Source organism: Homo sapiens, chromosome 8 (genome assembly GCF_000001405.40).
Source record: "Homo sapiens chromosome 8, GRCh38.p14 Primary Assembly".
NCBI classification, from domain to species: Eukaryota; Metazoa; Chordata; class Mammalia; order Primates; family Hominidae; genus Homo; species Homo sapiens.
The window spans coordinates 140,860,750-140,886,420 of NC_000008.11; the positions used below are offsets into that span (position 1 = coordinate 140,860,750).

Here is a 25,671-nt window from a genome sequence, read left to right on the forward strand (position 1 = left end):
AGGCGTTAGCCACCGCACCCAGACAATCATAGTATTTTCTTTCTTCCTCCCTTCCCTTTTTATGACTTTGGTACCACCTTTAACTTCCTCCAATTACCATTACTTGAGCCTGAAATACTAGCACGGAAAAACAACGACATTGCCAATCACCAATGGGAAAGGAATGTGACCATGACTATACTTTCTTTTAAAATGTATGTACTTGATAAACTATTACAAAAGGATACACAAAATGAAAGTGATTATTAGAATAGAGATAATTTAAGTAATGTTTTAGAATTATTTTTTGAACTTTCTAAAAGTGTGCCATGCCAAGCATGGTGGCTCATGCCTATACTCCCAGCACTTTGGGAGGCCAGGGCGGAAGGACTGCTTCAGGACAGGAATTTGAGACCAGCTTGGGTGGGTAACATAGCAAGACCCCCATCTCTACAAAAGACTTTTTAAAAATTAGCGAGGCATCATGGCACGCACCTGTAGTCCCAACTACTCAGGAGGCTGAGGCAGGGCGATTGCTTGAGCCCAGAAGTTCAAGGCTGCAGTGAGGTATAATCATGCCACTACACTCCAGACTGGGCAACAGAGCAAGACCCTGTCTCTATAAAAATAAAATAAAATTTTTAAAAATATTAAAATGTACCATATAATTTAACAGATTTTTAAAAATTAAAAAGACAAGAAGAGAAACTGTAGAAATGAATGACAGCAAAGAGTGGGGTGGAGGAGCTGAAAGGCTCTACAGAGTGCACATAGGAAGGAAAAGGCAAGCTATGTACCATCCCATAATGTGCAGCTCACACTTGTATGGTGATATGCAAATGGCAAATGCTGAATCCTCTAAGTCTGTTACTGTCTACAGACTGAAATTCAAAATATCACTGGGCAATTATATGGCAGACAATTTTATCTCATATAATGAACTTAACAGTCCTATACAATAGTTATTCCATATCTATATTTTAGTATATGAAACAATTAAGCACAAAGAGACTCAGAGGTACCTAAAATCACAGAGCTATTATATACAGAACAAGCACACGACTGTATTCACTGCATATTCCTTTAAGCGAAATTTCATTAACACTTAACTATACTTAGTGAATGCCTTGATCAGAATTTTTTTTAGACCACTCTGACTGGATGGCAGTATCAGGGATAGACTGAATTTTTAATAGGTTCATTACATTTAGCTTTCTCTTGGGTTTTATAAAGACCGCTGAACTGAATTCTATAGACTACCATAAAATATATCCTATTAGTAAAAGAAAATCTGGGATACATTGGTATGTGCAGTACTCACTTTATCATATAGGAAAGTCTTCCAACAAAGAAAAAGTAGGACAACCTAGTAACAGTGTGAACTAGGAACAAAAAAGTTGCAGACTTTTAGGTTAGCCTAGAAATTATAAAAAGGAGTCACTTAAGCCTGTATTATGCATTCTGGAAATCAATGTTACTAAAGTACCCATGTATTTCCTCGGTGGGTAGAATTTTTTTTCAAAGAAGTAATACAAGTAGTGACACAGATCACATACCAAGAGAAAAATGCTAAATAAACATGAGTTATTTAAACTCTCTTGTTATCTCCTTCGCCAAAATATGAAGTTCAACAGATTCCTAAAGGATGAGATGTAATAATACATGAGAACCAGTCTGTAAGATGAAAATTATTTTTGCAATGAGTAGGCTTCCAATAAGCTCAGCTGGAATCTAAAAACGCCTTCTTAATCTTTCCATTTTACCAACTTAACTCCCTTTCATATTCAACTCTGTATTATCGTAAACCCTCAAAACTTGTCACCAATCCCTTACCTCAAGGTTCCCCAAACCCTGGGCCATGGATCAGTACCAGTTAGTAGCCTATTAGGAACCAGGCCACACAGCAGGAGGTGAGCTGTGGGCAAGCGAGCATTACCGCCTGAGCTCTGCCTCCTGTCAGATAAGCAGTGGCATAAGATTTTCATAGGAGCGCAAACCCTGTTGTGAGGTGCACGTGTGAGGGATCTAGGTTGCGCATTCCTTATGAGAACCTAAGGCCTGATGATCTGAGGTCAAACAGTTTCATCCCGAAATCATTCCCCCACACCCCACCCTGCCACACCCTGTGGCCCTGGTCTGTAGAAAAACTGTCCTCCTCAAAACCAGTCGCTGGTGCCAAAAAGGTGTTAGGTAAAGCAGCAGGCCCCAACCTATCTCCTATGTGACTACTTCTTCACAGACAAGATGAAAACAGACACACCCCCGCCAACAGCTGGAAACTTCCTTAGCTTCCTACTCTCTCAGCTTGAATCTTTTAAATGGTAACATCTATCATTATCTCACATAGAAAAATATAGAACAACTTACCTTCTTACCTCCTTCTTTTGAATCTAATCCACCATTGCTCTTTCATGGCAGTAAGTGCCTAGACTTACATAATAAGCCTTTTTCTTCCTTATTTTCATATTCTGTTTTAGTTCAATCTCTGGGTCCTATCAAATCCATCCACTAAATTTGCTTATTATAATATACTTTCACTTTTATTTAATTTCTTGCCAGAATGATTGAAGAGCCTCTAAACATGCTTGCAACCTTTTAAAAATTCAATCTATCCCTGATACTGCCATCTAATCAGAGTGGTCTCAAAAAAAAAAATTCTGGTTACGGCATTTGCTAACTAACGTTTTTAAATGGCTCCCAATATCTGCAGGAGAAAACCTAAACCCCTGTTTACATAATGTTTGTGGTCCCTCTCTCACCAAAATGTTATGAACTATTTTAGCTAAGACTGCACCACATTTTCTCTCTCCCCTCCGTGTTCTTGTCTAGAAAACACAACTCTTCCTTTTCTACAAAGTTGAAGACTCCTCAAATGATGCTTTTCAGTGGAGCCATCTCAATACCAAATCTATACTGGGTCAGCAGACTCTTCTATGCACAGTCACGTCATTTGTGCTTACTAACAGCAAAGGCTCAAACACAAAGCAACTGATGACAGGAATCCTCCACTAGACAGAAGAATTTAAAGGTGTGGATTATGCGATTTATTTCTGCATTCCCGGTCCAGAATAGTTAGTTAATAAATATTTTTATTAAAGCAAAAAAAATTACCAAGTACATTTAATGACAAAATTATATGTACAAATGTCTTTCTGATGTTTATTAGCATTTTTGGCATTTTACCTTACATGTATTTATTGTCTATCTAATGCCTTACGGGGTAAAAAGCAAAGCAGATCAATTTTATATGGGTATAGTTGGCTCTGCAACAATCTCTACCTATGACAAATTCATTGCTATTCAGGCATAATAATTGTATTTAAATTAAAGCTCAAGAAATGATTGTAGACCTACTGTCTCCATATAATAGAAGTTATCTTTTAAGATTTGCTCAAGTATACAAAAGCTCACAAAGAACAAAAAAATTAATAATTTCTTATTGGTTAAAAGATTCTTATTGCCATTCAGCAACAAATTTCTATTCCTCCAAACGTGAGCTTTAATCAAATTTGAAAATAAAAATATGCAATAAATAGGATTCAAAGAAACAAACAAAAAAGTATATGAAAGCAGTCTCTAATACCTGTTGATAGAAGAAATTCAAAGTTGGCTTATCTTCAGTAAACTGGTTTAGAAATCCTTTTGGCAAATAACGAATTCTCAATTCATATCTAAAAATAATTCACAAAACAGAACAATTAGAAATCAGTCATTTTCTCAATTTACAGTCTACAATTATAATATTGTGAGTATAGCATTCCTAATTACTCTGAAAGATGATTTCAAATAAAAGCTATCATCAATTAATCTTTAAATGTAATTTTTAAACATTTTAGCACAAAAAAAGAGCACATATCATAAATGTGCTACAGCTCAGTGATTCAAGGAAACAGAGCATAGTAAGAGGCCCAGAAGTCCTTCCAACCCATGGGTCATTCTCCACCACTGCTCAGGGGAAGAACTGCCCTGACTTCTAACATCTTCCACGACTTCCCACGTCTAAATTTTTATCAGTGGAACTGCACAGTATGTACTCTTACTTGTTCAGAAAGCTAAGCTTTAAGAATGGATAAAACAAACCAACATCACCAGAATGCTCTTTATCTTTCTCATTCTCTCTTTATGTGTATGTGTGGCTCTACCCATATGAACACTTTTATAAATGTCTTCTGGTAAACGTATGTACACATTTCGGTTGCATATATACCTAGGAGCACTGGATAACAAATACATCCATTAGCTTTAGTAGATATTATCAAACAGCATGCCAAAGAGGTTGTAACAAGTCAAACTCCCACCAACAGCATGGGGGTGTTCCAGTTCCTCTATATCTTTGCCTCCACTTGGCATTTTCTAACTTTTTTGTTTTACTCACTCTGATTGGCATACTGTGATAGTGCATGGTGATTTTAATTGGCATTTCTTTGGTAAGTAATGAAAGTGAATACTTTCACATGCTTTTTGGTCATTTTGACTATCCTCTTTTGTGAAGTGCTTGTTGAGTTTTTTATTTTTTGTAGAGAGAGGGTCTCACTATGCTGCCCAGGCTGGTCTTGAACTCCTGGTCTCAAGGGATCCTTCCACCTTGGCCTCCCAAAGTGCTGGGATTATAGGCGTGAGCCTCCACCCCTGGCCATGTTCAAGTTTTTGTCCTTGTTTTCCGACTAAATGGTCTAGCTTTTCTCCTTCACCACCTATTGATTTGTAGGTGTTCTTTATATATTCTAGATTTGAGGCCTTTGTTAGACATAGTGAATATCCTCTTCCATTCTGTGGCTTAATGGTATTTTTTTTTAACCACTCAATAAAATTTCAATGCAATCTTTTGAGGAAGCAAAGTTTGGTACACATACGCAAGTTCTGCTAAGACTTATAAATGTCCATCTTATTAAAATACAAAATTGCCAAACAATTCGGTTTCATTTCACTTTTACTCTCAGACAGAGTTCAATAACTTACTGTAGATATTCTACATTGGGTTATTATGTAAGTATAACAGATTTCATTTATTTTCAACTTAGGATTTACCAGGCACGTAACTACTTTATGTGAACTATTTCTCTCTCTTTTTTTGAGACAGGGTCTGGCTTTGTTGCCCAGGCTGCAGTGCAGTGGCACAATCTCGGCTCACTGCAACCTCCGCCTCCCCGGGCTCAAGCGATCCTCCCACCTCAGCCTCTCAAGTAGCTGGGGCTACAGACACCTGCCACCATGGCTGGCTAACTTTTGTATTTTTAGTAGGGCTGGGGTTTTGCCATGTTGCCCAGTCTGGTCTCGAACTCCTGAGTCAGTTCAACAAATCCGCCTGCCTTGGCCTCCCGAAGTGCTGAGATTACAGGCGTGTGAGCCACCACATCTGGCCTGGGCACTATTTCTCTTAATCAATTTAATAATCAGAGGAGAAAGGTATAATTATTCGCATTCTGCAGACTAAAAAAAAATGCTCAGCAAAAAGTTATCAGTTCCAGTCAACGATTCAAACAGGTCCAAGGAGGCTTTTGGTATTAATGGGACTCCCATTTTATTTATTTATTTTTTTGGTTGGGGGAAGCTCCCATATTAAAGATAAGGAAAAAGGTTCAACATGAAACAATGGGCAGCCTGGCTCCACATCCATTCTCTTAACATCCAGCATTCTGATGCTGCTGGTGATCATCAACTAACATTTTCTGTCCATTTAGTGTATGACAGGAATTGTGACGAGCATTTTACACAGATGATTTCTTTTTAGAGAAGCATAAGGAACATGGGCTCTAGATAAAGATCACCTATGCCTGAATTTGGGCCATGCCACTTATTCACTGTCAGCTATCACTTCTCTGTGCCTCAATTTCCTTATAAGGATGTTACAAGAAATAAATGAGTCAGTAAACACAAAACACCCAGAACAGTCACTGGCATATCATAATAAATGGTTTCTAAGGTTTATTGTTAGTGATAACTCGATAACTGTTTATTCCAGCACAGATCATGTCTCAGGTACAGTTGGAGTGGTTGGAAATTCAACAGTGAATAACAGGCAAAGTGCTAACTCCCAAAAAGTTTGCATTTTTGTGGCAGAAGTCAGACAGCAAATACACAAATATATGTGAGATGGCAGTCAATGTCATAAAAACAAATCAAAGGGGAATAACAAATGATTAAGTATTATTTTTATAAAGGGTAGTCAATGATGGACACTCTGATATGATGATATCTGAACAAAGATCTAAATAAAGGAGATGAGGAAGGGAGTTATACAGTTATATGCAGAGAAAAAGTGTTCTAGTCAGGTGGAACAGACTATGAAAAGGCCCTGCAGCTGGAGGATGCTTGGGAAGGCAAGTGTAGCTGGGGCAGGCTGCATGAGGGCAGTGAGTAGAAATGAAGCTTCACACAGACCCTTACCAAGTCATGATAGTCGGGTTCTTTCTCAATGAGAAAGCAAGTCAATGGCATGCTGTGCACAGAGAAATGACATCACAGGGTTTTCATTTTTCATGATTAGGGTATACACCATGCAGAAGAGACAATGGGGACCAAAGGAAGAAGGAGGGAGACTAGGAGGAGACAGCAAGATTCTGGGTGAGAAATAATAGCCAGGTTAATATTCACCTTATGTTCACAGATTGGCAAGAGAATTTTAGGGAATTACATAATCTTCCCTAGATCCCACAGCTATTTAGAGGTAGGCATGGGATTCCTCTCCAGCAAGAACATGCATGAATATTTAAAGGCACAATGATACGAAGAAAAGGCACCTATGTCTTAAAAACAGAAAAGAACTTAACTCAAGCCTGCTTATGTGAAGTTAGACAAGGCCTTTAGATCATGTTAAGAATTTTGGTGGGAGCTAAACAATGAGAACACATCCACATAAAGCAGGAATTAAGACACTGGGGACTAACAAGAGTGGTGGATGGGAGGAGGGAGAGGATCAGAAAAATACCTGGTTGATGAAATAATCTGTAAACCAAACCCCTGTGACACGTAGTTTACCTATGTAACAAATCTGCCCATGTACCCTTGAACCTAAAACGAAAGTTAAAAAGAACTTTGTTCCCTGCTTCAACACACTACAGTCTAGCATATTTCACACAAAACTCTACTGAAACTTTCCTCAGTCCTTAAACTGCAATGCCTGACACCATGTTCTCGTGCCCCACTAGAGCTGACATCCCCACTCTGCTCTTACACGAAACTCGTCAGTTTCTTTACATGTCTGTTTGCCATTTTAAGAGTCTAGTTGCATCCTGATACATATTTCCACTTCCCTGCTATACGCCTCTCCATGGATTCCCAACAGCAGCTAAATACTATGCCCCAAATAAAATCATTCTTTCGTTCCTACTCTTAGGCAATATATTCCTATTCATGCCATTGTCATCCAGCTTCCTCAGTCTTACCACCAAATATGAGCACTAAGACACCCAAAAGTAACCAACTGAGGATAAGGAGGGAGAGGGTATGTTTTTGAAAAGCTGAGCTAGATTAAGAATATGATAGTCCTGATACTGAGAAGGGTTAGCTAGCTAGTCCGTGTTTAGTGAAGTAAACAAAGCATTAACTTCACACAACACAGATGCCCTCATAAAAAAAATGTGGTGTGAACAGTCTGTTCTTACAATAGACTTCCAATTTTTTTAAAAAAGGGAAGAATGGAAATAGAAATTTATCATTTAGCAAAAATTACAGTAATAATCACTGCAAGACAGAATCATCAATGAATGCTAAGATCAGTGGGTGAAAGTGAGAAACAGAATGTTGCAGTATCTATGTATCTTCCCAGAAGATATTTCTTAATTATAAAGGGGAAACAGTAACCTTGTAGTGGAGAAACCTGGCTTCCATTACCTTAACCAAATGATCCAAGTTAGAACCACCTGTAAATTAAGTTGTGCCATCATTATGGACTTCCTGATACAATGCAATGAGAAAGGTATGACATCTTGACTGCAGCCGTTTTGCCAAAAACGCAAAACCTTAATCATAAAAACAATACCAAACTCAAATTGAAGAACACAATACAAATAACCAGTGAGTATTCTTCAAAAATGTAAAGGTCATAATGACACAGATTAAGGAACTGTCTCAGATTAGAGAAGACTTAAGGAGACATGACCGTAATGTGGTATTCTGAATTGATCCTCAACCAGAAAAGGAACGGTAAGTGGAATAATTGGGAAATGTGAATAAGTCATATAGATTTGTTACTAGGACTGTATCAATGTTAATCTCCTGGTTTTACTAGCTATATTATTTAAGATTTTAATATTTAGGGAAACTGGCTGAAGGGTACACAGGATTTCTGTGTACTATTTTGCAACTTTTGATATTATATTGAGAATTTTTAAATTCCCACATATACAAGACTGACCCTTTTGTAGCTGTGGTGACAAACACCCGCCCCCGCCCCCCCAACCCATACACACACAAAACCAGTTTTAAATCAGCTTGGTCAATAAATATGAGTTGTACAGCCACAGACCCACTTGAAACTAATTTTAAAGCGCCTGATATCTTGCCTCAATGAACACGCATCTGCAAGTCAACTAACTGACTGGCAGCTTCTTCTTTAATTTAGCCAAACAGGAACTAACTCTAAAGAACATGCTTCTAAAGATGAACAGTCTAACTTGGGTAACCATACATCTAAAATTGATGCCAACCCATTTCCACCTCTGAAAGTTGGCCAGCTTCTCAACTTCATACTTCCAAAAACCTTGTATAGAATCAGTAGTGTGTTCTGCTCAGGGAGACTGTGACTGATCAGCACAGCTTTCCCTTAACAGCATCATAAAGCCACTTTTTTCTGATTCAGATAATGAATGATCACGATGTCAGACTTGGACAATACATAAGTAGTAAAACCTTTTTTTTTTAAGCAAAAAAATGATTATGACAAAAGTCAGGATATCAGTTACCTCCGGAAGCAAAGAATAGAGAATGAAATTGGGAATGGGCACACCTCTAATTTAATGGGCTACAATTCATCAATTCATACACAAAGACAATAAATATGTTGCTGATAGGAAACACATAAACAAAGAAAGAGGGGCACTAGGTACTGGTAACAGAAAGAATAGATGAAGATATTATAATCATGAACTTATATGTACTTAACAACATAGCCTTAAAATCATAAAGAATCACAAGACAGAATTACTAAAAAAAAAAAGTAAATCGACAATTACAGTTGAATACTTTCTTTGAGATGAGCATGTAGCAAAACATATATGTGTATAATATATACAATTAAATACATTAAATGTCACTTTTCAAGCAAAGTATGAACAATATAATCTTCAAATAACATGACGATAAGCTTGAAAAAATGTACACAAACACACCCGCCCTCTTTATAATAACAGAACATACCTTCTTTTCAAAAGGAATGAAAACATCAACTAAGTACTAAGGCACAAAGAATCATCTCAACATAGTTAAAAAAAGTCAACACCATAAAATTGTTATGCTTCCTATAATGCAACAAAATAAAATCAATAACCAATAATCTTTTCTTTTATAAGCACATATGGCAGAAACCTAAACAATACACTTAATCACCCCTTGGTTTCTTCCAAAAATCTTGAAACAAATATCAAAACACTGATTGATAATAAAACACTATCTAACAAAGTTGTGAGACATAGACACAACTAAAATGACCATTTATAGTAAAATACATTTATCAGTAAACATGAATGAATGAAAACAAGTGAGCTAAGTGCTCAATTTAGAAATAAGTGGTAAACAGAAATAATAAAATATAACCCACATAATAGCAATATATTATAGAGTAAGAATTAACTTAGTAAAGATGACACAAAGGCTTTGCAGAGAAGACATCAGAAGGCATCAAAGACAATGGACACAGATGTCACGGACAAAATCCAGATGAGGGGAAACCTGTAGGACAAGCAACACAGCTTCCTTAACAAACTGCAAGCAAAGGGGAGAAACTGGATATAAAGATGTTATAGATTACAAAGACTTAAAAGACAAAGGGCACACCTAATTTGGATCCTAATTCAAATAATTTATCTTTAAAAATTTTGTCATGATATTTAATAAACAAGTTAAAATTTGAATACTAATGGGATAGTTTATGAAATTAAGAATAATTTTTGGAGATTTTTAACAACTTTTGGTTATATTTTAGAGCAGTAGTTCTGAACCTTGGGAGATTCTGCCCCCTTCCTGTTTCCCCTAGGGGACAACTGGCAGTAACTGGACACATTTTTGCCTGTTACAACTGAAGAGGGTGGGGTGGTGGGCTCCTATCATTTAGTGGGTAGAAGCCATACAACATATACAAAAGCTCCCTACAACAAAGAATTATTTGGCCAAAATGTTAATCCTGATTAAAATTAAAAACAACAAAGAAAAGCATGCTGTCATGTTATGGACAGACCATTTTGAAGTCTAAACTATTTCCATCAATTTATAACTTTGTCACCAAAAAGGAGTGGATGCACTGCTCATAAAAAATCTGAAAACAAAATTTTCTAACATTTCAAAATTTCTCCACTAAATAAAAAAATCTGATGTTAAAATATGAAAATATATTTCAAAATCAATTATACTGAAAGGAATGATCATGGAATATGGAAATTTATTGACCAAATTTCAACAAATGTTTACATAATTGGTGACTGGCAATGAAAAATCAGTATCATCATTAAGCACACAAAGATACTGGTACCCCTTCTATTTAATTATGCATATCTTTGTCAAGAATACTTTTAGCTATGACAACCATTAAAAGCAATAACAAAATAAAACCTGAAATAAGACCTTTGAATCAGAAGTGGGGCATGGTGGCTCATGCCTGTAATCTCAGTACTTTAGGAGACAAAGGCAGGAGGACTGCTTCAGCCCAGGAGCTTGAGATCAGCCTGGGTAACATATCAAGACCTTGTCTCTACTAAAATAAAATAAAATCAGCCAACCGTGATGGCATGCGCCTATGATCCCAGTACACAATGAGACCTTGTCTGTACAAACAAATTATTTTAAAAATTAGTTGAGTGTGATGGCAAACACCTCTAGTCCTAGGTAACTGGGAGGCTAAGAAAGGAGGACTACTTGAACCCAGGAGTTTAAGGCTACAGCGAGCTATGATCATACCACTGCACTCCAGCCTGTTTAACAAGGCAAGACCTTGTCTCAAAACAACTATTTAACCAAGATTTTCTTTAAAAAAATAAACCATACTAGGCCAGGCACAGTGGCTCACACCTATAATCCCAGCACTTTGGGAGGCCAAGGTGGGCAGATCATGAGGTCAGGAGATCAAGACCATCCTGGCCAACATGGTGAAACCCTGTCTCTACTAAAATACAAAAAATTAGCCAGGTGTTGTGGCGTAAGGATGTAGTCCCAGCTACTCAGTGACACTATCTCAGCTCACTGCAACCTCCACCTCCCAGGTTCAAGCGATTCTCCAGCCTCAGCCCCTCAAGTAGCTGGGATTACACGTGTGCACCACCATGCCTGGCTAATTTTTGTACTTTTGGTAGCGACGGGGTTTCACCATGTTGGCCAGGCTGGTCTTGAACTCACAGTCTCAAGTGATCCACCTGCCTCAGCCTCCCAAAGTGCTGGGATTACAGGTGTGAGCCACCACGCCTGGCCCGCTGCATGCTTTTAAATTTTCTACTTTTATGTATACTTTATAGCCTACATTATACAATCAATATGTTGACCATAAGTGAATAAATACAAAATTGATTAAACATTTTTGCCTGACTCAAGCTCCTAACAAATACTACCTACTTAACTGGGCTCTCCCAGCATCCTAGAAACAGGTAAGCTCCCACCTGCCCCTGGACTGACTGGGGAAGCGCTGGGGACAGGCTGGGGTGCACATGCACACTTCAGGAGTGATTTTCAAACTCAGCCTCAGACCCTAATGGTCAACAGAAGTTCCCCTGGAGCCTGTGGGGATTGGGAAGAGCTGGTGGCTACCCCTGCCACGGCTCTGGGCCTTCCAGTGACTTCTGAAGGAATTTACCATTCCCTTATTTACATGTTCCATATGGTCTTAACATGTGTTCCCAACAATCTCGTTAGGTTTTTTCACTTTTTACTTTATAAAAAGTGTCATGCTGTATGTCATATTCCAGGACTTTTTTAATTGAGGTAAAATTAACATAAAATATTAACCATTTTAAGGTGTGAAATTCAGTAGTATTTAGCGTACTCACAAAGTTGTGCTAGGACTTACTTTGTCACATGATGTTATACAGCTAAGTTTCATTCATATTGTTACTTGTACCTGTAGTTCATTCATTTCAACTTGTGTGACATTCTACTGTGTGAATAATCCCCAAGTGACTTGTCACTGCTTATGCCATGAACATTATTGCAGTTATAGCCTAGTATAGAAACTAGAGCTAGAGTCTCTGAAAGAGAGAACTTGAAAGGGAACTGCAGGATGGTAGGGCATGTAATCACTTGACATTCAAGAGAATGCCAAGCTGGTTTCCCAGGTGGTTTCACCAATTTATTAAAACATTCTCCCTAGCAGTGCAGGTAAAAGACTGTCAGGTCCACAGCCTCTCCAGCTACAGAGAGTGTCAGACAGCTGACTTTTTGCCAACTGGAGGTAGAGTTTCACTAAGGTATCGATTTGCATTTCCCTGATCAATAATGAAGTTGACAGTGCCTTCTATGTTAATTGGCCAAACTTATTTTCTCTTTTATGATAACATCTTCATGTCTCTTGTGTATCTATTACTGAAGTGTCTGCAATTTTTTTTTTTTCTGTTTTTGAGACGGAGTCTCGCTCTGTCGCCTAGGCTGGAGTGGAGTGGCACGATCTCGGCTCACTGCAACCTCTACCTCCCAGGTTCAAGCGATTCTCCTGCTTCAGCTTCCCCAGTAGCTGGGATTACAGACGTCCGCCATGACGCCTGGTAATTTTTGTATTTTTAGTAGAGGCGGGGGTTTCACCACGTTAGTCAGGCTGGTCTCGAACTCTTGACCTCAGGTGATTCGCCCACCTTGGCCTCCAAAAGTGCTGGGATTACAGGCATGAGCCACAGTGCCCAGTCAGCAATTTTTATATTGATCAGAACTCTTACCACCACCCTTTGTTGACTGCATGTGTTACAAATATCTTCTCCCACTTTGCAACTTGTTCTTGTACTTTCAAAATATATCTTTTGCGGAATGTCCTAATCTTAGTACAGTAGAATTTGCCAGCCTTTCTTTTTATAGTGAACGTTTTGGAGCTCTTAAGAAAATCTTCCTATCCCAGGGCCAGAGATACATTCAACTATACTTCCCACTAAACTTATTTTTTTACAGTTTTGCATGTGATGTTTCACTACTTGTACATCTCATAGATTTGTGTATTGAGGTAGTATCCAATGTTGTTGTTGCTCTTCTTCCTACATGGATAGCCATTTATCAATCCAGCTCTTCCTTTCTCCCAGTGACATGTCATGACAAAGAGCTCTCTAAGGTCATCCTGCCTGAGACAGTTATGACCAAATACGTGTGCTGCAAGCTAGCTTACCAAGCTGTTTGAAGAGTGAAGACCAAGTGAACAAGTCTGTATTTCAGGTTTATTCAACAGTATGAATAGACTCTATAGCAGATAGCACAAAAGAACAAGCTATGTCCAAAAACGTCATGGAAATCAAAATTTATACCCAATTATATTGCTGAGTCCTAGCACTTTCATTTGACTAGAGATCTTACTTCTCAGAATTAAAGCCAGAACTGCAGCTGCCCTCACATACCCACCTATGAACTTAGATGTCTGCAGGTGACAGAAAAAAATTTGTCATGTTCAGCTTCTTGTATTTACATATCTAATACAGGAGTAGAGAAGAAACAGCTGAGTGTTTGGATTCAATTTCTAGTATACCACCCATTTAAGCCATATGATCTCCAGGAAAAGTTATTAAGCCTTTCCAAAGTATGGCTTTCTCACAAGCAAAATGGCAAAAAGAGAGTACCTACATGATAAGACTATCATAATAGAAATTAATTTTGATGAACTACATCAAATGTCTGACACACAGTAAACAACATGTGTTAATATGGTAATACTGTTATTAACTTAAGCTAATATTGTTTGGTTCCTAGCTGAAAACAAGTTTCTAAACCATCAAATTACTTTGCTTCTGGGCTTCTTTTACACATGCATTATCAATATATTATTTAGTCAGTTTTCATTCAAATATTGCTTATTGGGTGCCTATTGTATACCAGGCATGACTAGAACCAGGAATAGAGGAGTGAAGAAAACAAAGTCCCTGAGAAAGATAAACAACACATATATAATATCAGTCTTCAGAGGTCTGTAAAAAATTAACAGAGTATATGAGCTGATGAAAAATCACAAGGAGCTTCAGGTAGGCAGTGGGCTCTTTAGGTAGCCAGTAGGAGACCACAGGAAAGCAGTAACATTCAAGCACATTCCTGGAATGAGGAGGTCCAAGCCATGCCTAGAAAAGGCAGAACATACTCAGCAGAGTCACACCAAGTTCAAAGGCCCCAATAAGAAAGCCAGGGAGCTAGAGTTGAGAAAGTGAAAAGTTGTAAACGATAAAGGAAAAAAGGGAGGTGAGACAAAGAAAGCGTTAATTAAGATGAAGGGCCATATTATTCAACAATTAAAAAGTCTGGCAATAGAGAAGAAACCATCACATCAGATCCCAACTTGAGTATTTATGGAAAGAACTCTAAAATATATTAAAGAATTTAATGGAAGGAAAACTGAAATCAAAAGGACTGATGTCACCAGAGTGGAGGAGGAAGAGGAAGAGCAGAAGGAGATAAGGACTGTGAGGTCATCAGAAACTCCAGAGTTTGCTCTGAGTGTGATGAGAAGCTACTGGAAGTTTCTGAGCCCAAATGATTTATAAATATAATTGGATGGCTTACATTCTAAGAGATACATCAGCAAATCCCATCAGCTCCCTCCTTAAAAATACAATCCTGTACAACTGTTTCTCACAACTTCTATTATTATTCCCCTACTGCACCATCTTTTAGGATTTTTGCCTGGGTTATTCCACTAATTTGTTTCTCAGTTTCCCTGCCTCCATCCAATCAAATGTATGATTTAATGCCCAAGGCAGGTGTAGGGAGACTAGAAAGAGAAGAAAACAGGTTACTGGAGCACCCTAACATTTAAAGGCCAAACAGTTCAGAAAGGCTATGAATGGTCAATGAAGGAAAACCAAAGCAGTTTGGTATCCAGAAAGCTAAGTAAGGAATATTTATTAAATTCTTGGTGATAATAGCTTGTATTGTAATTGCCTTCTATATCCCTAATGATGCTTTAAAAGATGTTTAAAATTTTTTTCATACGATATTAACAGGGTATAATCCTTTTCCCCTTGGTTACTATTTGTCTGATATACTTTGTTCCCTTTCTGCTTATGTTTTATGTGTGCGTTCTTCAAATTAAAAATCAGTTACTATCTTGTTTCATGGGGCCAATGCATATTTAGATCTACCCAATTTTTTCCATCTTGCATCCGAGACCCTCCCCTTCAGAGATGATTTTCGTTTTTCCTAAGGTGTTTTTGTAAGAGGTTCCTTTGGTGGCAAATCCTCTAAGGAAAATGTCTTTATCTCACCCTGTTCTTGAATGGCAATTTAACTGGGCAAACAAAAACAGGTTGCCAGCTACTTTCCTCACTACTTTGAACATATTATCCCACTATTTTCTTGGCATCTATTATTGTTGTTGAAAAGTCTGAATTTTTCTCTGGGTGTCATCCTGTCTTGTTCTCTGGTACAACAATATTTTACTATTAATACAATCTGCCAATGCATCAGTTTAGTTTTATTGACTCTATTTGGGATTTTGTTAATCCTGTATTTGAAGGCTCATGTCATTCATTGATTATAAAATATTCTCAACCATTATCTCTTGGGATTATCTCCTCCTCTTCTCCATTCTTTTTTATTCTATTCTTCTTGAGTTTCTGTTAGAAATGGGTTGACATCATTCTTCATGTTACATAGACTTGCATTCACATTTTCCATCTTTTCATCTCTCCGTGGTATGTTCTGGAAAATTTTTTCTCTTGTTTACTAATTTTTCAGCTATGTCTAATCTGCTATTTTATCAATCCTGTGATTTCTACAACTTCTATTTGGACTATCCAAATTCTCTTGGTTATTTTTGATAGTCTCCTTTTCCTTACTGACACTTAAATTCCTCCCCTTTTAAATATACAGAACCATCAGTATTAACCCTCATAACTCTTGAAAATACCTCATCAGTTTATCTGTCACATTTTCTTCTGTCATCATCTCTACCTACTATGCATGTAACTTTCACTAATCCTTTTTTTTTTTTTTTTTTTTTTTTTGAGACAGAGTCTTACTCTGTCACCCAGGCTGCAGTGCAATGGCATGATCTCGGCTCACTGCAACCTCCGCCTCCCAGGTTCAAGCAATTCTCCTGCCTCAGCCTCCAATGTAGCTGGGAGTACAGGCACCCGCCACCACGCCTGGCTAATTTTTGTATTTTTAGTAGAGACAGGGTTTCACTCATGTTGGCCAGCCTGGTCTCGAACTCCTGAACTCAAGTGATTTGCCTGCCTCAGCCTCTCAAAGTGCTGGGATTGCAGATGTGGGCCACCACACCTAGCCAACTTTCACTAATCTTAAAAGCCTAGCTACATTTTCAGAGTATTTAAGACAACATTATTCCCATATTGAGATAGGCAATCTAATTTTTAAAACCTGTACTATGAAGCCAGACAGCTAAGTTCGAATCAAAGCTGTGTCACAAACTATGTAACTACAAGTTTATCAATTTTGTTTTCATGTGTAAAATAAGAACGATAGTCTCTAACTCCTAGGGTTTGGGGACAGTTAAATGAAATGTATATTTAAGTTATCTGGTGTAAGCAGCATACAGATGGCAGAGTCCCTGGCTCAGCCACTTATGACGACAAGGCATCAATGTCATCATCATCATCATCATTAGTATTATTATGAGCAGTAGTATCCCGATCACCCTTTCATCTAGTAGGGTCAATCTGTGAGAAATTCTATATAACCCCACCTAAATTTTTCTTCCTTTTGAGGATTCAAGACCCAGTCAGTAAAGCAGTGCCTATTCAATTTTACTTGAAACAAAGTAAATAAATTGGCTTAAAAGAACAACAACAATCTACTAAGAGATTTAGATTCAATGACCATTTTATTGAGCACTAAGGATTTCATTATAACAAAGTCTGCATCTGACATGTCCATATAAACCAAGATAATAGACTTGTGTTAAATAAAAGTACCTTGACACAGGAGGATCACCTGAGTAGGGGAGTTCAAGACCAGCCCAAGCAACACAGCAAGATGACCATCTCAAAAAACAAAACAACACAAAAACCCTGCAGGTATTTTTATCTAACTTTTACATATCCTTTGTTTTGGAATGCTCACTTGCTTAATTGACTAAATAGTTGGAAGTCAAATCTTCTCTAGCCATTGATGTGAACCAATGAAACTATATTCTCAAGGAGTATTTTGTTAGCTTGGTACCAGCTACCTGACAAATTTGAAAATACAGCTATATTTCTTTGATGAACTCTGTAACTGGCGTAGGGTTTTATTCAACATAAGATTTATTCAGGCTGGGCATGGTGGCTCACACCTGTAATCCCAACACTTTGGGAGGCCAAGGTGGGCAGACTGTTTGAGCCCAGGAGTTTGAGATCTGTCTGGGCAACATGCTGAAACCCCAGCTCTGTAAACAATACAAAAATTAGCTGGGCGTGGCGGTCTGTGCCTACAGTCCCAGCTACTCAAGAAGCTGAAGTGGGAGAATCGCTTGAGCCCAAGAGGCTGCAGTGAGCCATGTTCATGCCACCGTACTGCAGCCTGGGTGACAGGGCGAGACTCTGTCTCAAAAAAGAAAAAAAAAAAATTATTCACCTTAACATGTTTGTCTTTTAAAATGTCTACCCTAATCAATCTAGATCCTTCAAAGTTACTGACCCTTTGAATGCACTCTTCAGCCTACAATTATCTTTATTTCTGTAGCATTGCCTATAAAAATTAGAACCCTAGTGAAAGAAGCCCATTTTTACAAGTTATACCTCTCACAAATGTATTTTAGATGTACAATTTCCTAGTAACATCTTGAGTTGCTTAGTAGTAAAAAAAAAAAAAAAAAATTAGTAGGGGAGACCAGAAAAAGAACAATTATAGGGAATTCTTTTAATTTGCCCTGAAATAATTTTATTTTCCTTAACATTTCAACAGGAGTCATTAAGAGATTACGTCCTAATTTTAACGTTGCATGTGAATATCAAATATACACTCACTCTTTGTAGGTGCGCTCTAGATTACAGGGCATAATAAAACAAGCTATGTAGCCCATTAATAAGGTATTTAGGAGTGACAGCAACTCCTGCTACATAAAAGGATGACAAGGGATGAAAACATTATATATATATACATACACACACACATATATATATGATTTGAGTTTTATTGGGAGCAAAGGTTGAAACAAAGTAGCACTGATGAGAAATTAGCTAGCAAAAGACCATCACAGAAAACGGAAATCAGATGGCTCAAAGTATAATTAATAATACCCAAAAGCTAGACTAGAGGTCTAGAAGAGATCATTCGTTAATAATTACTAACGAATTTTATTTATACCAGAGTTGTAATGACAAGCAGTGTGAAAATTAAACATATACATTTGTTATCTTGTGCATGTTTTTAAAAAGCAAAAGAAATCAAGTGTGCATCACACCAAAGCAGGTTTGTATCTTACTTCCACTCCTCTGGTGGGTGAGCAAGCTCATACTTCTCCCTCACACTGGAGACGCCCATATCCACGTGAAGCCAGTGAACCTCCTCTGACCGCAGGTGACTGAGGCGGAATCCATAGCAGGCCACATGCTTTACTTTGTGACTGTCCACTATCTTCTGAATGATGCCCTAAAACATACCCCCCACAAGAATGACTGTTATAAACTGAAAAAAAAAAAAAAAAAAAAAAAAACCAAAACAAAACAAAAACAAAACAAAAAAAAAACTATATGCTAAAAAGTAATGCAATGTTCATTTCTTTTAGTCAATTATCAGAAATCTTTGGTATGAGAATATCAAGTTAAATAAATTACTTAGGAATCTTTGTTTCTGAAATAGTATTTTCAAGAACAAGGAGAAGTTTTAGAAAAGAAAACATAAAGAGATTCTCTCCTTTCTTTATTAACAAGGCATGTAAACTTAAAAACACATTTCTGCAATTCCACTGTCATCACCCCCCAACCTGTCAAAGCACACCAGCTATCTTTCAGTTACTACTTTCTAAGGTCCAGACCCAAGGAGGGGTTATACTTTCAAAAACAGGGAGATCATACTGTTCAAGACCAGGCTGCAACATTCATAATCATTTTTTTAAAAAAACATACATTCAGGAACACACAGTTAAGGCTACGTTTCTGGTGACACTGGAAATACATGAAAAGTTCTTTGAATTCGGGCCTAATCAGTTTATTATTACTTGCTCTTTAAAAATTATTATGAAGCAATCTTAAATACTCCCAAATCTAATGCCTCTAACATGTGTTCCCTTGAGTTCAGAGAAGGTCACCTTTGAATGAGGTCATCAGGGAATGTTCCCTAGAGATGGTGAAATTTCTCCTGGAGCAATGGACAGGTTAAGTGTTAGAACTGACTCTTGCCCTGTACCTACCTAGGTATGAGGGCCATGAGAGAATATGTTGTTAAGTGGGCAGCATGTATGGAAGACTCATTTGGGAACATGACAGAACCATTTGCTGTCCTTTACACGAGGGTATGCAAATTACAACCAACTGTGACCTTCTCAATCTTTTAGGTGATAAGACAAGTTTTTTTTTAAATGATGCTGATATTAAAATGAAAAATGTCTATGAAAGAAAATAATCACTGCTTTTTAAAATTAGCAATTAATTGAAGCTATAATACAACTTGTTAAGACATACAAAAAAGTTCCTGCACTCATCAAGTATTGCTTTATTACAGCACAATGCTGCTGATCATGATAAAGGATATTATCCCCAGCCTTCTCCATAAGCAAAGATAAATCGTAACATGTACCATATACAAAAACTGTCCAAAACCCAGTATATGCACACTGAGGATGTGTGCTGCTGTGCTGTGCTCCCCATACTGGTACCTGGCATGTGGCAGACCTCCCAGGGCACTGAGTGAATGAAGTGGTAGAGTCAATCTCTCTTTCAGACAACTCAATCCCAGGTACAAAGTTGTTTACCAAGCACAGGAAGTGGCAGAGAGAGGGACAAAGGAAAGGAGTAAACATGGTATCAAGAGAGAAAGCATCAACAGAGGACCAGGCTGGAAGAGTCAAAGACAGGTTCATAAAGATGATGAATTCTCATCAGGACAGGAAGGATGTTTGCAGCCTACAGACTCCTATGTGGAACTGACAGAGGCATAAAATGTCCTTCCTGGCTTTTTGATCCAAGCCCAGAATTCCTGACAGGGCCACTGTAAATGACAGTACCCTACCTACACAAGGATATCCAGCTGAGGGTGAAAAGAGTCCACGTTCTAGTCTTTAAACCTTGTGCTCTGGGGTGGGGAACTTGCCTAAAGGAAGGAGCACCTTTTAACAATTCTCTCAGAAGTGACTTCTGCAGCTTCTTGCCAACACACAAATCCATGAACTATAAAGGATGGAAGCTAGCACCTCTGTGAAATTCCCACAAAAGCTCCTGGTTCCCTGTCCAGCTCTGCCAGATCAACACCCAGTACGCACCAACACCAGTTATCCTTGGTAAACCACAGGTCAGTAAGTCTCCTTGCTCCACAGCTCACTGCTACTACCAATTCAAGAGGCGGCTCTCTCTTGTTAGAGCTGCGATCAGTGTCTACAGTGGTCTCTAGCCATCTGCCTCAGGTCACTTGGTCTACTAACCTTCCATAACCTGATGTTGAATATAAGGCAGTAAGGAACACAAATCATTTCTCATAATTGTCACCATTCACATCCTAAGAAAAAGCCCAGCTTCTCCAGTTGCCTTCTGTAGTGACCCCATGAAAAAGTCACTTCATCTCTGCTGAACTCACAGCACACATATAGGAGACCTGCAGCAAACCAGTCTCAAAGAGGCTTAGCCCAGAACTGTGGTATCTGTTAGGGAAAGGCAGGTTTCTGTCTTGGAGTTTCACGTAAGAGAGAGAATCTTATTCCATTCACTTGATCATGCTGCCTGAAGAGACTCAGAGTGACTTCAAAGTGTGGATCTGAGTGACACAGCCTTTGCATACAGTAGTACCTCATGAGCAAACCAGCTTTCAACTTTCACTCTCCATGAAACAGTGAAAAGCAATAAACACACAGATATTACCTTCTGTTTCATTTTTTGCTTTCTCATTACGCATCCATATCGTACTCTGTCCTACTGCTCATTCTCTAGCACCCTTATAAATTTCTCTGGATAGTGGCAAACATTATAAATATACAAAGTGCTTAAATATGTGGTGCTAAATGCATATACTCAGTAACTTAAGTAATTTTGAGAACTAAATATCTGGTCTGGATAACTCAACAAATAATTCTGAGAACTACGTATTTAGTGAGGAATGTAAACTCAACCAACCCTACAGTGCTGCCATATGGAAGTGCCCCATTTTCATATCACACACACGTACATTTAGAATAAAAATGACTGTCTCTAAAAGGATAATAGGACATGGGTTTTTAATATGCCACTAAAGGTACCAGAATTAAATTTAAATTTCTCATCGTGACTTTGAAGACACATCTATCTGGTCCTATGAAATACAAAACAATAATTGGCTACTCTGAAACCTGTCTCTCATAACCCAAGTGTCAGAAATACACAACTTTTCTGATTAAATTCTCATAGTAGACATTCATGGTAAAAGAATTCTTTTCAAGGTTAAAATAAAAGCCAGTGTTCACATCATGCCTGTATCTTATCAGGAACATAACATTAAATGTGCAAGGTCATTTTACTACTGATGAATAAAGATTTCCTTGTTCTGAGGGAGAAAGGAAGGTGTAAATAAAAATACTGCTATGAACATCCTTCTAGCTGTCATCAAAGGTATTTATGACCACTGCATAGAAACAGACAAAATTTCCTTTAACTGAAACATTTTGATAAGCACAACCAAACTTCCTGGCCATCAACAAAACTATACCAATTATACTTGATGCATAATGTTACAGAGTATCATTTATCTCACATTAATGAATAAAATTAATCTTATGATGATCAATTTAATGACCAAAAAAACTTCCACAGGTATTTTACTGTTGTTATGATGGTTTAATTTCCCTGATTACTCACTAGTGAGATGAGGCTATACTTTTGTTCATTTCTGAAAGTTTTTATTATTTTGCTTGGTTCCATTTAGCCACTTACCTTTTAGACAGTACTTTCAAACAAATGACCTTCACCACTGTTCGAAATAGGTCATGTGACTCTTTCCTCCATGTTCATTCTTTCATAAACTGTTCATTCATTTATTCATGAACATCTGAAGTGCCTACTACATGCATGATGCTAGTGACACAATAACGGTTAAGATGCAATTCTGACCCTCAGAAGTCTTAAAGAGTCTCACAGGAGAAAGACATGACAATGAACATGTGCAAATGAGTATTAAGTGGTTTGTGGGGAGGAGGGGACAAAAAGGGATATTTTATATTTTTAGCTATAGTCTCACACTTAATTTTCAGATTTATTACTAGAAGAGATATCTGAAGCAACACACATTGTTGACACTGTTTATCTCCTTACTGCTTCCTAAGAATTACCAAATATAATCATCATTACTGATTCTTCTATAGTATAGTGTTTCTTTTTCTCATTGTGTTTCTCTTTCAGATACTCTTCAGCTTTAGAAAACCAAGGGATTCCTACCATTCTTCTTGGAGGCTTTCATCATTGGGTTATCAAAAAGAAAGATCCAGAAATTCAAATCCTGTTCTCCAACACCTAGTACGTTTCCTCCTCTTGGTCCAGTCATAAACTAGGAGTCCTTCTAAAAGTCTTCCAAGACAAAGAATGTACTTTTTTATCTTGGTGGTCCACAGTCACTGTATTAGTTCCCTATTACCTCTGTAATAAATCACCACAAACTTGGGAGCTTAAAACACAACAAGTGCATTATCTTTTAGTTTTGTAGATCACAAGTATGAAATGGGTCTCACTGGCCTAAAATAAAGACGTCAGCAGGGATGTGCTGTTTTCTGGAGGCTCTTAGCTTGTCTTTTCCAGCTTCTACAGGGCACTGCACTCCTTGGCTCATGGTCGTCTTCTTCCCTCAACGTTGCATCTGATCCTTCTTTCATATTCACCTCCCACTGACCACGGTTAAGAAAAGGCCTGCTGCAGTGAAGGACTCATGATCTCCCCACCTTAAGGTCTGTAGCCTTCATCACGCCTACAAGTCCCTCTGGCCACGTAAGGGGACATCTGCACAGGTTCTGGGGATTAGGATGTAGGCATCTTTAGGAGCCAACATTCTACCTATGGGAAATCACTACCTCAATCACTATCTCTCAGGATTTTGAATTCAAAATTTTTTCTTCCTCGTGCTCTGTTAGCTTAGGTTCTCCTCTTTAACATGGCTTTTATGCTTTTTCTTAAAGCTTTCCTTTCTAGCTTTCTTCCTAGATGATACTTTCCATCCTGTAAAGGAAGAGTTTAATTTTCTAAGACCTCCATAGTCCTTTCTAGAATCAAAACTATTTGAATCCGTAACAATCAATGTTCAATTGATTGTTATTAATAATCAATTGTTTTTAAATGTTTTTAAACATACATTCACCTGCTCCTCTGTCAGAGAGAACAGCTTACACTTCTAACACACACAAAGTGTCCAGTGATGACACCTAACAATAAACACTGAAGACCGTTGGACTGCTCTGAAAAGTCCTCCAGGCACCTACCTATGGCCAAACTCAGGGAAAACTCCCTGAAGAATTCCCTTCCCCTACAGATACCAGTTGTTTATAGCATAGTTTGTTCTTGCAGAATCCCAAATCACTGTACATTTTCCCATTCCTATCAGAAGGATGATTTTAAATTGAACACAACGTTACTTCCCATTACCAGTCTTCCCACTACCAGCTTGGTAACAGTAATTAGTATTAATCCAACCCAACACACCTATATTTTAACAAACTACATGAACTGATTTTTTTCCATTTACTATTACAGATTCAGATTTACCAACCATTCCCTACTGACTCATGACTAGTACTGAAACCTGAGGATATGCTATTTATTTAGAAAAGTTCAATGTACCAGTCAGAAAAATTTTAAGGGGTTTTGAATGGGATAAGAATACTGTCCAAGTACTCAATGGTGGTGTAATCTTAAGCAGCATCATACAGTATTTGCCCAGTACTTGCCTGGTGTATGGGCATGAAATTATTTGTTCTAGTCCTTGTAATGTCTTTTTAAAAAATAAGCTAGGTACAGAGATATCAGTAAAGTGGGGTATGGCTTTGAATAGGTATAATCTTTGGCTATCAAATCAATATCTTTGTGGTTATTTGTCAATTAAGGCTTTCTACTTCTGTGGTCAATGTTCCTAACATATTTCTCTCAGAAATATTCCATTTCACCTTGGATGCCATATAGTCATTCAACAAAAGTACCTATACCTACTGAGCACTTGGCTGTTTGCCTGCTAGACACTGTTAAAGACATTGGCAATAATACCATGAAGTACAAAGATCCCTGATGTCACAGAACTTAAGAAGTTGGGGAAGAAAACAGCTAATAAATGAGCAAACAAATCAAGTACAAGACGATGTCAATAATAATGATCTGAAGAAAATAAAATAGTGACAGAAAAACAGCAATGGTGAGGCATAAGGGAGCATTCTTAGACTGGCATGCCCTGGCAGGCAGAGTTAGTAAGGGCAGGGTGAGAACAAGCAAGGAGCCACATCCCGTAGGTCCTTGTAGGCCACAAAAGGAATCTGGCTTTTAGTCTGGGAGAAATGGGGAGCTCTTGGGGGGATTTAAGCAAATCACTGATTCGGTGATTAGTATGTTAGAGAAACAGGAAGCAGAAAGAAAAAGTGAGTGACTAGGACAGAGGTGACAGGGCATGATGGGACAGGATGGGGGAGATGGGTGAGACTCTCAAAGGACGTGCATGTTGACTAAATGAAACCGGGTTCTGAGTGGAGGAGTGAAGTGCTCTGGCTTTCATCTCTCCAGGATCATTCTGGCTGCTGGGTTGTCAACAGACTAAGGAGAGCAAGTAGGGAAACAAGATGTCAGTTAGGATACCATGCCATAATGTATGGAAGAGACATTTTAAGGCAGCTACTGAAGAAGAGCTCAAAGAAAGGGGTAGCAGTGGAGGCAATATGAAATGGGTAGGTTCTGGATATATTTTTGAAGATAATGTGGACAGGATTAGCTAATGTATTCGATATGGCTTGAGAGCAAAAGAGGAATAAAAGACGATTGCAAATGGATCTGAGTAACTAAAAGATGAGGTAACCCTTTGACTGGAGCACTGGATGGTTATTTTGTAGCAAGAAGTGTAAAGACAGAGAAGTGAGGTACAAATGTTGGGGAAAGGGAAGATATAGAAATGTGTGGACTTTTCCAAGTACTGCAGGTTGAAGAAAGTGGACGAGGTATGAAATGGTTGTCTAGGAGAGAACAAGATGGGGGGATAGAGCATGACAGCTGGGTAGCACTAAGGTTGCAA

At 38.1% G+C, this 25,671-nt stretch overlaps 1 protein-coding gene across 176 annotated transcripts in view; it reads right to left on the reverse strand.

Annotated features, from left to right (window-relative positions):
- PTK2 (protein tyrosine kinase 2) overlaps positions 1 to 25,671 on the reverse strand; it is a 344,180-nt gene that overhangs the window by 202,850 nt on the left and 115,659 nt on the right. For 126 of the 176 annotated variants that reach the window (NR_148036.2, NR_148037.2, NR_170672.1 and 123 more), the window contains 2 exons: positions 18,722 to 18,888; positions 3,563 to 3,650 (listed from right to left, as the gene is read on the reverse strand). Coding sequence is in view for 160 of the 176 variants with exons in the window: in NM_001352699.2 (NP_001339628.1) it covers positions 3,563 to 3,650; positions 18,722 to 18,888 (255 nt within the window). In the remaining 16 variants the exon portion in view is untranslated. Of the gene's footprint in view, positions 1 to 3,562; positions 3,651 to 17,121; positions 18,889 to 22,352; positions 23,625 to 25,671 lie in introns of those variants that run through there. The other 50 variants (NR_148039.2, NR_148038.2, NR_170671.1 and 47 more) reach the window with 3 other exon arrangements.